This window comes from Homo sapiens, chromosome 16, assembly GCF_000001405.40.
Source record: "Homo sapiens chromosome 16, GRCh38.p14 Primary Assembly".
Taxonomy (NCBI): Eukaryota; Metazoa; Chordata; class Mammalia; order Primates; family Hominidae; genus Homo; species Homo sapiens.
This window is the reverse complement of record NC_000016.10, coordinates 34134724-34146811: the sequence shown is the minus strand read 5'-3', so window position 1 is coordinate 34146811 and position 12088 is coordinate 34134724. Positions and strand designations below refer to the sequence as shown.

At 48.7% G+C, this 12088-nt stretch overlaps 4 pseudogenes, besides 1 other annotated feature; 2 read left to right on the top strand and 2 right to left on the bottom strand.

Moving 5' to 3' along the window:
* Positions 750-985: a silencer, noted in NCBI's record as "fragment chr16:33948294-33948529 (GRCh37/hg19 assembly coordinates)". NCBI's record gives its function as "represses an EF-1alpha promoter that drives an FKBP-Casp9 reporter gene in an ReSE screen in K562 erythroleukemia cells {active_cell/tissue: K562}" and the evidence as "EXISTENCE:reporter gene assay evidence [ECO:0000049][PMID:32094911]".
* Positions 3963-4356, bottom strand: DUX4L47 (double homeobox 4 like 47 (pseudogene); annotated as a pseudogene).
* Positions 4802-5744, top strand: DUX4L46 (double homeobox 4 like 46 (pseudogene); annotated as a pseudogene).
* A 1326-nt stretch (positions 5745-7070) lies between these two features.
* On the bottom strand, positions 7071-7626 carry PCMTD1P2 (protein-L-isoaspartate (D-aspartate) O-methyltransferase domain containing 1 pseudogene 2; annotated as a pseudogene).
* Positions 9931-11073, top strand: DUX4L45 (double homeobox 4 like 45 (pseudogene); annotated as a pseudogene).

Here is a 12088-nt window from a genome sequence, read left to right as displayed (position 1 = left end):
GCTCATTTCAACAACCAGGCGGTTGATGTGACGGAAGAAGTGTCAAGTCCAGGAGTTTGAGACCAGCCTGAGCAACTGAGCAACACAAGTAGGAGAGCCCAGCTGAAAAAAATGAAAAAAAGAAGGAGGAGGAGGAGGAAAGAAAAGAAAAGAAAAGAAAAGAAGAGAAAAAAGTTAAAATTATCCAATGGTGCAGGCACAAAAAAGAGTGATTTCACGTCTTTTCCCACAACATGGATAGAGCTGGAAGCAAGTATGTACCGAGTGAACTGCCTTCTGCTTACAAGTGGGAGGTAAATAATGGGTACGCGCACGGTCATCAAGATGGAAATAACAGACACTCCAAAAGGGAGGAGGAGGGTAAGAGGGGGAGGAGGAGGGTAAGAGGGGGACGAGGAATGAATAAATCGCCCGTCAGAGACAACGTTCGCCACGTGGGTAAGGCATACACTGGAGGTCCACTTCTGCATCCGGAAGCAGTAGTATGCTGATCTAACAAACAAGCACATACACCCCCTGAGTCTGTAAAATACCAAAACAACGACGACAGCACCAGCAGCAGCAGCAACAGCAGCAGCAGCACCAACAACAACAACAACAGAACAGAAGCTGGAACACAAAACCACCACCACCACCACCACAGTCGCCAGTCGGGGGTTGGGGGAGGGTGGCCGCGCTCGAGACCCTCAGGCACAGTCCCCTCGGGTTTAAAAAAGAAAACTGCAGACTCATTCCTGTCTGTAGGCAGGAAAAATCCAATCAAAGTTCTCCATTGCTAGAAAGGGAAGTAGAATAAGGAGAAGGGCTTATTGATCTTCTTGTGATCGATTGAGACCACACATGTAGGAAAAAATTAAATACAGACAGCAACACTTTCTACACTGTTCAAAAGCATTGGAGATCAGGCGCACCACACACCATGGGCCTTGAGCCACTAGAGAGAAAAGGCAGGCCAGGTGCGGTGGCTCACGCCTGTCATCCCAGCACTTTGGGAGGCCGAGGCGGGTAGATCACGAGGTCAGCAGATCGAGACCATCCTGGCTAACACGGTGAAACCCCGTCTCTACTAAAAATACAAAATATTAGCCAGGCCTGGTGTGGGCGCCTGTAGTACCAGCTACTCGGGAGTCTGAGGCAGGAGGATGGTGTGAACCCGGGAGGCGGAGATTGCAGCGAGCCGAGATAGCGCCACTGCACTCTGGTCTGGGCGAAAGAGCGAGACTCCGTCTCAAAAAAAAAAAAAAATATATATATATATATAGCCAGGCATAGTGCTGCATGCCTGTAGTCCCAGCTACTCAGGAGGCTGTGGTAGAACAATCACTTGACCCAGCAGTTTGAGGTTGCAGTGAGCTATGATCATGCCACTGCACTCTGGCCTGGGTGACAGAGCGAAACCCCATCTCAAAACAAAGAACAACCAAAAACCTACAAGCATACTCAGAGATAGTGTGGGTTTGGTTCCAGACAACCACAATAAGGAAAATGTTACAATCGAGTTAGTTGCATACACATTTTGTTTCCCAGTGCTTATAAAAGTTATGTTTAAATTATGTTGTAGTCTAATGAGTATTTAATAATTAATAATTAATTAATTAGTAATCGCATTATGTCTAAAAAACTATGTACATACCTTAACTTAAAATACCTCATTGCTGAAAAATACTAATGAATATCTGAGCCTCATCAAGTCATAATCTTTTTGCTGGTGAGTGAAGGGGTGGTCTGCCCCTCCACACTTGTGGGTATTTCTAGTGAGGTGGGACGAGAGACTGAGAAAACAAGTAAGACATAGAGACAAAGTATAGAGAAGCAACGGTAGGCCAAGGGGACCGCCGCTTAGCGTGCCAAGGACCTGCACCAGCACCGGCCTCTGAGTTCCCTTAGTTTTTATTGGTTATTGTTTTCATTATTTCGGCAAAAAGGAATGTAGTAGGAGAGCAGAGTGATAATAAGGAGAAGGTCAGCAAAAACATGTGAGCAAAAGAATCTATGTCATAATTAAGTTCAAGGGAAGGTACTATGATTGGACGTGCACGTAAGCCAGATTTATGTTTCTCTCCACCCAAACATCTCAGTGGAGTAAAGAATAACAAAGCAGCATTACTGCAAACATGTCTGGCCTCCCACCATAGGGCGGTTTTTCTCCTATCTCAGAATTGAAGAAATGTACAATCGGGTTTTATACTGAGACATTCAGTTCCCAGGGGCAGGCAGTAGACAGTGGCCTTCCTCTATCTCAACTGCAAGAGGCTTTCCTCTTTTACTAATCCACCTCAGCACAGACTCTGAATGGGTGTCGGGCTGGGGGACAGTCAGGTCTTTCTCATCCCATGAGGCCATATTTCAGACTCTCCTATGGGGAGAAACCTTGGACAATACCCCGCCTTCAAGGGCAGAGGCCCCTGCGGCTTTCTGCAGTGCATTATGCCCCTCATTTATTGAGATTAGAGAATGGCAATGACTTTTACCAAGTATACTGCTTGTAAACATTTTGTTAACAAGGCACATCCTGCACAGCCCTAGATCGCTTAAACCTTGATTTCATACAACACATGTTTTTGTGAGCTCCAGGTTGGGGCCAAGTGGCTGGGGCAAAGCTACAAATTAACAACATCTCAGCAAAGCAATTGTTAAAGTACAAGTCTTTCAAAATGGAGTCTCTTATGTTTTTTCCTTTCTATATAGACATAGTAACAGTCAGATCTCTCTTTCTTTTCTCTACAGTGAGGGTCTTGCCGCTATGTTGATGGCTGCTGACTGATCAGTGTGGGGGCTGCTGAAGGTTGGGTGCCTGTGTCAATTTCTTAAAACAATGAAGTTTGTTCCTTTCACAAAACATTTCCCTGTAGCATGTGATGCTGTTTGATAGCATTTTATCCACAGTAGAACTTCCTTCAAAATTGGAGTAAACCCTCTCAAACCCTGCTGCTGCTTTATCAACTAGGTTTATGGAATATTCTAAATCCTTTGTTGTTATTTCAACAAAGTTCATAGCATCTCCACCTGGAGTAGATTCCATCTCAAGAAAATATTTTCTTTGCTCATCCATAAGAAGAAACTCCCCACTTGTTCAAGTTTCATCATGAGTTTACAGCAATTTAATCTCGTCTTAAGGCCCTAATTCTAATTCTGGTTGTCTTGCGATTTCTACCACATCTGTAGGGACTTCCTCCACTGACATCCTGAGCCCTCAAAGTCTTCCATGAGGGCTGGAATCAACTTCTTCCAAACTCCTGTTAATGTTGATATTTCAACCTCCTCCCATCAATCACAAACGTCCTTAATGGCATTTGCTATTAAGGACATTTGTGATTCATGGGAGGAGGTTGAAATATCATGAAGGGATTAATGGTGAAACCTTTCCAAAAGGTATTCAATTCAGTTTATCCAGATTCATCAAAGAAATTACTATCTATGACAGCTATACCTTTATAAAATGCATTTATTAGTTAATATAAACACTTTAAAGTCAAAACCACTCCTTGATCCACAGGCTGAAGGATATATGTTGTATTAGCAATAGCAGTCATGAAAATAACATTAATTTCCAAGTACATCTCCATCTAAGCTTCTGGGTAGCTAGGTGAATTGTCAATAAGCAGCAATCTTTTTTCTTTTTTTCTTTTCTTTCCTTTTTTTTTCCTTTATGTAGTTTCCCTCTTGTTGCCGAGGCTGGAGGGCAGTGTCATGGTCTCGGCTCACTGCAACCTCTGCCTCCAGGGTTCAAACCATTCTTCTGCATCAGCCTCCCAAGTAGCTGAAATTACAGGTACCACCACCCTGGCCGGCTAATTTTTTTGTATTTTTATTAGAGACAGGGTTTCATCATTTTCACCAGGCTGGTCTCCAACTCCTGACCTCAGGCAATCCACCCACCTCAGCCTCCCAAAGTGCAAGGATTACAGAGGTGGAGGTGCCCGGTCTTCGGTTTCCCACGCTGCCCTGGCGACCTGGGGCTCCAGCCCCACCGCGGACTCCGGTGGGACGTGGGTGGCGCAAACACACCTTGCCCCTGTGACTCAGCTTGAGGGGGCCCAAGCTGTCCCACTGAGCATGCACCAAATAGGCCACCGTGCTGCAGGTCCTCTTCCTCCTGGCGTTTGTTAGGGTGTGGAGGCTACCGAGGAGTCTGAGGGTGGGACAGTCCTACTTCCAGAGGAGCCAGGACAGTGAACACAAAATCCCCGCGTGCAGGGGCAGGTTGAGAGATTCCTTCTGCCTGCGCAGCCTGGCTGGGCTGGAGAGGGGGAGAGGCCCTTGCTCCCTGGCTCACGAAAGCCCCATGTGGGAGAGCCCCAGGCATGCAGGGCGTGTGGGGTGCGGGAAGCCCGGTTCCCCACTCCCCGGTGTGAGCCACTGTGCCTGGCCAAGCAGCAATCCCTATAAAGGAATCGTTTTTGTTTTTTCTTTTTTTGTTTTTTTCTGAGCAGTAGGTCTCAATAGTGGGATTAAAATATTCAGTAAACCGTGCTCTTAACAAATGTGTTGTCACTCAGATTGTGATCTTCCATTTCTAGAGCACAGCAAGAATAGATTTTGCATAATTCTTAAGGGCCCTGAGATTTTCAGAGTGGTCAATGAGCATTGGCTGTAACTTAAAGTCACCAACTGCAGTGGTCCTCAAAGACAGACAGCCCTTCCTTTGAAGTTTTGAAGCCAAGTGTTGACGTCTCTCTAGCGATGAAAATTTTACATCTTCAGTAAGCTTAATCATTTCTAGCTCTGGACTTAAAGTGAGAGACATGCAATTCTTCCTTTCATTTGAGCTCTTTGAGGCCACTGTGGTTACTAATTAACACCCCGGGCGGGTGTCATCCTCCTCCCTCCTCAATCGAGTTCACCCACACCAGGGCTTGGGGAACTGGGCTTCCTGCACTCCATACGCCCTGCATGCCTGGGGCTCTCCCACATGGGGCTTTCGTGAGCCAGGGAGCAAGGGCCTTCCCCCCGCTCCAGCCCAGCCAGGCTGCGCAGGCAGAAGGAATCTCTCAACCTGCCCCTGCACGCAGGGATTTTGTGTTCGCTGCCCTGGCTCCTCTGGAAGTAGGACTGTCCCACCCTCAGACTCCTCGGTGGCCTCCGCACCCTAACAAATGCCAGGAGGAAGAGGACCCGCAGCACGGCGGCCTGCTGGGCGCGTGCTCAGTGGGACAGCTTGGGCCCCCTCAAGCTGAGTCACAGGGGCAAGGTGTGTTTGCACCACCCACGTCCCACCGGAGTCCACGGTGGGGCTGGAGCCCCGGGTCCCCAGGGCGGCGTGGGAAACCGAAGACCGGGCACCTCCACCTCTGAAGCTCGCGACCCCGGAGGCCTCCGCGTCAAGCACATATGCAAGCCATCCAGGCACCTCCCAACCGCTCCAGGAGTCGGGGCGCTTGTCTACACACACCCCCAGACTGTTAGATGAGCTCCTGCCAACCCCAGAGTTTCAGAAAAAGGCACAATCTTTCCTAGATCCGGCGCCACTGGGGAAGCTGAAGGAGGTGGAAGAGCCCGCTCCGTTGGAACCACTCCTCAGCCAGGAAGAACACCGGGCTCTGCTGGAGGAGCTTTAGGACACGGGGTTGGGGCGGGGTGGGGGCAGGGCGGCGGCCTCTCTTTCGCGGTGAACCTCTGACTCGGTATGGAGAGGCGTGTCTTCCCTTCCAGCTGATCTGCCTAGGATCCCTGAGTTCCAGGTCCCGTGAGAGACTCCACTCAGAGGAGGGGTATCATTCTTTCCTGAGCATCCCGGGGATCCCAGGGCCGGTCCAGGTACTGGGAGGCGGACTGTCTACTGCTCATGCGCGGGTTAGCAGGCAGTAGCCTAGGTTTTCTAACTAGTCTAGGAGGAGTTCTCATCCCTTCCCTCTTGCCCCCTGCCGCGTTCTTCTTTGGGGCGGGCGGAGACCTACATCCCGGGAAACACTGGCCCGGGCAGACGCCAGGCCTGCTCTTCTTTCTGCGTCTCGCCCCCTCTGCCTCCCCGCCCCACCGTCACTCGCCTACTCTTGCCACGCCAGCTTCCTCGGCATCGCCGTGGAGCGCCTGACAGCTAAATGCAGACCCGAGACCCCGTGCAAGCCGGAGTACTGCCCTTTCTACGCAGGAGGGAACTCAGGCAGAGATGGGGAGAGGAACGGAGACAGAGAGGGAGGGAGCGATGGAGGGAGAAAATAACGGATGGACCGTGGGACCTTGGAAAGGATGGAGGGATAGAAGGAGGGAGAGAGGGAAGGAGGGAGGGAGGGAGGAAGGGAGGAACTGAGGGAGGGACGGAGGGAAAGAGGGTGGGAGGGAGCAAGAAACAGAGAGAGGAAGGCAGAGAGAAAAGCAGTCTTCTGCCTCCAGGACCAGCAGGATCTCCCACTCCGGGAAAATGTTGGGTGCCCAGTGCAGGCTGAGTGCTCTGCCCACAGCCGCGTCGGCCTGCGGCGCTCTCACCGGCCCTCCGGATCGCCAGCCTGGGTTGCTTCATCCGGGAGCGATTCAGACGAATTTCGTCTCCCAAGGAATGAGCGAATTGCCCAGAGAGCAATGAGCCGAGACTCGGGTGATTGTCCATTTTTCATCCACATGGTTCACAGATGAGATAGCCCCACGTTGAGCCTGCAACGGAGCGCGAGGTGGATAGTCCCGTCCACACAGGAGTCACATTCAGGCCGACTGAAGCGTGGTTTCGGGTTCCACGTTCCTTTGCCTTCTGCAAGGGGGCCTGTTGCTCATGCGTCTCTGGCCCCCGAAAGCGTGGCCCTGTTGACTGTTTGTTTCCCGAGCTCTGTGGGGACACAGAAACCTCCAGAGAAGTGTGGAAAAGCAGCTTCGTGTATTCGCTCTCCTTTCCAGTTTCCTGTTTGGAAACAGGCCATAGTGGAGACTTCCCATGTCGCAGGAAACAGGAATCCATCCTCAGGACGTGATGCACCAGGCGTTTGTTTTCTCTGTAGTTTCTCTCTCATTTTCTACATGAAAATGAATGAGATCCGTAAGGAATCAGAAAAGGGAGAATCAGAAATAGTACACAAGTCTTGACTACTGTTACATTCCACTTTGAAATCACTCTGAGGTGAAACAACAATTTTCCAAGATTTAAAGAAAAATAGATTTTATAAAAAGGATTCTTTTATTCACCCGATACATCATTTATGTTACTGACAGTAACAAGTGGTATTTTTTCCACCATAATTTGCTCTGATGAAATAAATAATTCTTTTAATTCCTAACAAATGCTACATTTTCAAGACTAAAGGAATTATCAGTAGGCATTCTTTCTTTTTGATCTAAGTTATTTGTCTCTAAAATATGTCAAGTAAGCTTTTAAAGATTCAGGGAGGGGCAGCTTCATGATTTTTTCTGTCAGTAAATATTGAGGTGGCTCCTCTGGCTTCATCGCTTCACTGTGATCTTTTTCTTCCTCTTCTTTGTTATCTTCTTCCATTTCTTCATCCTCCTCACTGTCTAGAGGCTGAAGAATAAGCTGATTACACACACATACGTAAATGGTAATTCTCTGTTTAACTCTCTTTCTTTTCCTTTTGGGTGGAGCCCTTTGAGGAATCCCCTTGGCCTGCATCTCATCATTTATGAAATTTCTAAGTGTGCGTCGAATGTAAATAAGAGCCAAGTCCTGTAGATTCCTGACAGTGATTCCTTACAGATTTGTAGTGGTGAGGGTTAGATTTAGTTTTATGTAAGGTTTAAGTAATTGTTAAGCTTATGTAACCTGATCTGAATTTGCACTTCCTCTATGAAAACTTCATTTATCTAATAAGGAAATCAAATGCTTTGTAGACCTGTTTACCTTACTTTTGTTGCAATCACTGTTGCTGGGTTGCTGTATATATATTCTGGGCAATATATGAGTGCAATAACAATACAAAATATTGAATAATTTAGCTTTTAAAAATCCCACAAATTTTATGAAATTTTACAGCCCTGCTACTTTTGCTTTTGAATCCCTTGCCAAAAGACATGAGTAAAATATCTGCTTCTCTCAGAGAGATTTTAAGAGCACAGCAATTGAATTATTAAAATAGGAACTGTGTACTTAATACAACCCTTTATATGGACCCTTTACATTTTCAGTATTTTAAAAAATGAGGTTACCTTAACTCTCTAGAATTTTAAAAGTATATTTAGAATTGTTTTTTCTGTAGTTCACTGTATAGAGTATTTGGTTTTTTTAAAAAAGCAAAACCATTGTTATGTGTGACTCTTGATAGGCCACAGAACGAGTGAATGAGCATGAGTGAGGCCACTTTCTTAGATGGCTGTAAGTGCAGGGCCATGGTAGACCTGGTCAGCCGATGCACTTTAGCAGATGGAACTTCTAGTTTATCTGAATATTTATCTTTGACAAGGTAGGGCTGAGCCTACATTTGCTTTGGATCTTTCTAGTACAAGAAATATTCACAGAAATTTTATGTAGATACCCTTTGTTTGGAAAATCCTGTTCAGAATCATAGTGTAACTTTGGGACTTATGCCATGCTCATTTGACTTCTTCCCATATTTTTTATGTTTCTTTTGGTAAAACTATAATGGTTTTCATTTTTTACTTAATATCACACAATTAAACTCTCATATTTGAGTTTTATTGTAGCTTATCAGTGATAAAAAACAGATAGTAACTGCCATTGTTTGTTTCTTTGTTTTCCTAATAAGGCCTGAAAACAGCCAATCCTTGTTAAGAAAGTGTGCAATGTAACATATTTGCTAGAATTACATGCATTATATATTTCTTAAAGGGAAAAATTTGAGAGTATCATGGATTACCACCAGCATTATTATTACAGTAGTTGCTCAGATTTGGTTAAGGAAGCCCAATCAATGTATAGTGAAAGTATTTTTAGCTCTCTGCTAAGATTCAGATATTGTTTCAAAAATCTCAGCTCCAATAATTCCACAACATCTAAAAATAAGTGTTTGTGATCATGTGTAAGCATGAAATTGTTCCAAGTAAGTGAGGATATTTTAGTTATGTGAAAGACAGTATCAATGGAAGGTTATTTGTTTTATACCAGTGGCTGGGATGGTGGAATTGGGGTTATTTCTACAGTTAATTCTTAGATGATTACTAAACTGTTAAGCAATGCCCTATATCATTTGTATCTATGAAAGAAAAAAATCAGTATCATACTGCTGTCATCTGTCAGAAATGTTCATTTTATTTTGAATTAAATGTGGCTTTTGAAGTTACCTTGAATTCCTGGTGACCACATGTTTTTGTCTAGAAAACCTGGGGAAAGTTATCTGTCCCATCTCCCCTGCTTTTTTTTTTTTTTTTTTTTTTTTTTCTCGGTTGGAGCTGCTGTTTAGATTATGCTTTTACTATGTAGGAGAGAGTTTTTGTTAAGGATATATTTGAAGATTGGCTTTTCCATATTGTCTTTCATTCTTTGACCTTGGCAAAGTGTACAGTAGATTTTCATGATCATTGCATATTTCTTGTCATTGAAATGTATCTTTTATGTTTTTAAATGCATTCATTTTACACTTGTGACTTTATCATTGACTTTAAGAGGTAGAAATAAAAAATAAAAATAAAAATAAAAAAATGAATGAGATCCACACACCTGCGTGTGTGAGACTATCACGGCAACGGCGACACCCACAGGCATTGCCGCCTTCACGGAGAGGGCCTGGAAAACTCAAGACTGTCATGGAGGTTCAGTTCCACACTCCACCCTTCCAGGGTGGTTTCTCCCTGAAATCGTATGTGAGCCCAGAGAGAAATTTCCAGTTTCCGTAGAATTCTGGAGAACTCAGAGAGCCAGCCCCAAAAGCCCCCCTTTCCTGGCCGATCTGGCCCCACCTTCGCCTACCACACAAGGCCCTGTGTCTGTGGTTTCTGGCTTCGGAGGGTGGGTTACCCAGGGCCCTTGGGTGCTCATGCATATTCATGAAGGGGTGAAGCTGGTGGGTTTTTATAAGGGCCACTGGCGTGCGTGCAGCACAGAGGCCAACTGAGGCCCACGGGAGCCGCCGGCCTCTCTCTGCCCGTGTGTGTCCGTGAAATTCCAGCGAGGTGCCCTCGCGATGGCTCTCCCACCCCCTTCTGACAGCCCCTTCCCCGCGGAAGCCCGAGGACGAGGAGGGCGAAGGAGACTGGTTTGTAACGTGAACGAAAATGATTCCCTGCTAGCGTGCTTTGAGCGGAACCCGTACCCGAACAGGCCAGAGAGACCTGCCTTTTGGAGTCCAGGATTCAGATTTCGTGTCAGAATCGAAGGTCCAGGCATCCAGGCCAGGGTGGCAGGGAACCCGCGCACGCAGGCGGCCTGTGCAACGCGGCCGACCGCGGGTGCCACCCTCCCTCCTTGGGCGCCTTCACCCACGCCAGGGCGCGGGGAACAGGGGGCTTTCGTGAGCCAGACAGCAAGGGTGGCCCCTCTGCTGCAGCCCAGCCAGGCTTCGCAGGCAGAAAGAATCTCCCGACCTGCCGCGGCACTTGGGGATTTTGCGTTTGCTGCCCTGGCTCTTTCGGAAGTGGCGCTGTCCCACCCTCAGAACCTGGGTGACCTCCGCACCCGAACAGACCAGGGGACCAGGACCCGCAGTACGGTGGCTTTCTTGGGTGCTGTGCTCAATGGGACAGTTTGGGCCGCTCAGGCTGAGTCAAACAGATGGCAGGGGGACCAGGACTCGCAGCACGGCGGCCTTCTGGGTGCGTGCTCAGTGGGACAACTTGAGCCGCTCAGACTGAGTCACAGGGGCAAGTTGTGCTTGCGCCACACACGTCCCACATGAGTCCGTATTGGGGCTGGGGCCAGGGTCCCCAGGTCGCCAGGGCGCATGGGAACGTGAAGCCGAGGCACATCTACCTCCGCAGCTCGCGCCCATGGAGGCCTCTGCGTGTCAGAAGCTGATGTAAGCCATCCAGACACCCTCCCAACCGCTCCAGGAGTTGGAGCTTTCATCTGCACTCGCATCCACCCTGTTATATGAGCTCCTGTCGACCCCAGAATTTCAGCAAAAGGCACAACCTTTCCAAGCAACGGAGCCACTGGGGTAGTTGAAGGACGTGGAAGAGCCGGCTTTTTTGGAACCACTCCTCAGCCAGGAAGAACACCAGGCTCTGCAGGAGGAGCTTTAGGACGCGGGGTTGGGACTGGGTGGGGGCAGGGCGGTGGCCCCTCTTTCGCGGTGAACCTCTGGCTCGGTATGGAGACCTATGTCTTCCCTTCCAGCTGACCTGTCTAGGATCACTGAGTCCAGGTCCAGCGAGAGACTCCACAGAAAGGAGGGCTGTCATTCTTTCCTCAGCATCCCAAGGATTTCCGAGCCTGCCCAGGTACTCAGAGATGGACTGCCTACTGAGCATGCGCGGGTGTGCGGGCAGCCGGCTAGTGTTTGGGACCAGCCCGGGCAGGGCTCTCATCCCTTCCCCCGCCCCCCCACACCGTACACCTCCCCCCCGCCCCCGCGTTCTTCAGTGGTGTAGGGGGAGACCTCCACCCCGGGAAACACAGGCCCGGGCAATGGCCAGGCCTGCTCTCCTTTCCGCAGCTCAACTTCACTACCTCCCCTCTCCACCCTCCCTCGCCCACCCGTGCCCCGCCACATCACTTGGAGCGCCCGGCAACTAAATGTAGACCCCGAGATCTTGCGCAAACCATGGTTCTGCCCTTTCTAGGCGGGAGGAAAGCCAGGCAGAGATGGGGAAAGGAACGGAGAAAAAGTGAGAGGTTGGGACAGAGGGAGGAAAGGACGGATGAAAGGAGAGACCTTGGAAGAGATGGAGGGAGGGAGAGAGGGAAAGAAAAAGAGAGGAAGGGAGGGAGGGAAGGAGGGAGAAAGGGAGGTATGGATGGAGGGAGAGAGGGAAGGACAGAAGAACAGAGGAAAGGAGGGAGAGAGGGAGGGAGGGAGAGAGGGAGAGAAGGAAGAACAGAGGGAAGGATGGACAGAGGGAGAAAAGGAGCAAGAAACAGAGAAAGGAAGGCAAAAAGAGAAAAGCGGTCTTCTGCCACCAGGACCAGCAGGACCTCGAACTCCGGGAAAATCTTGGGTGCCCAGTGCAGTCTGTGTGCTCGGCCCACGGCCGCATCGGCCGGCGGTGTGCTCACCCGCCCTCGGGATCTCCAGCCTGGGTTACTTCACCCGGG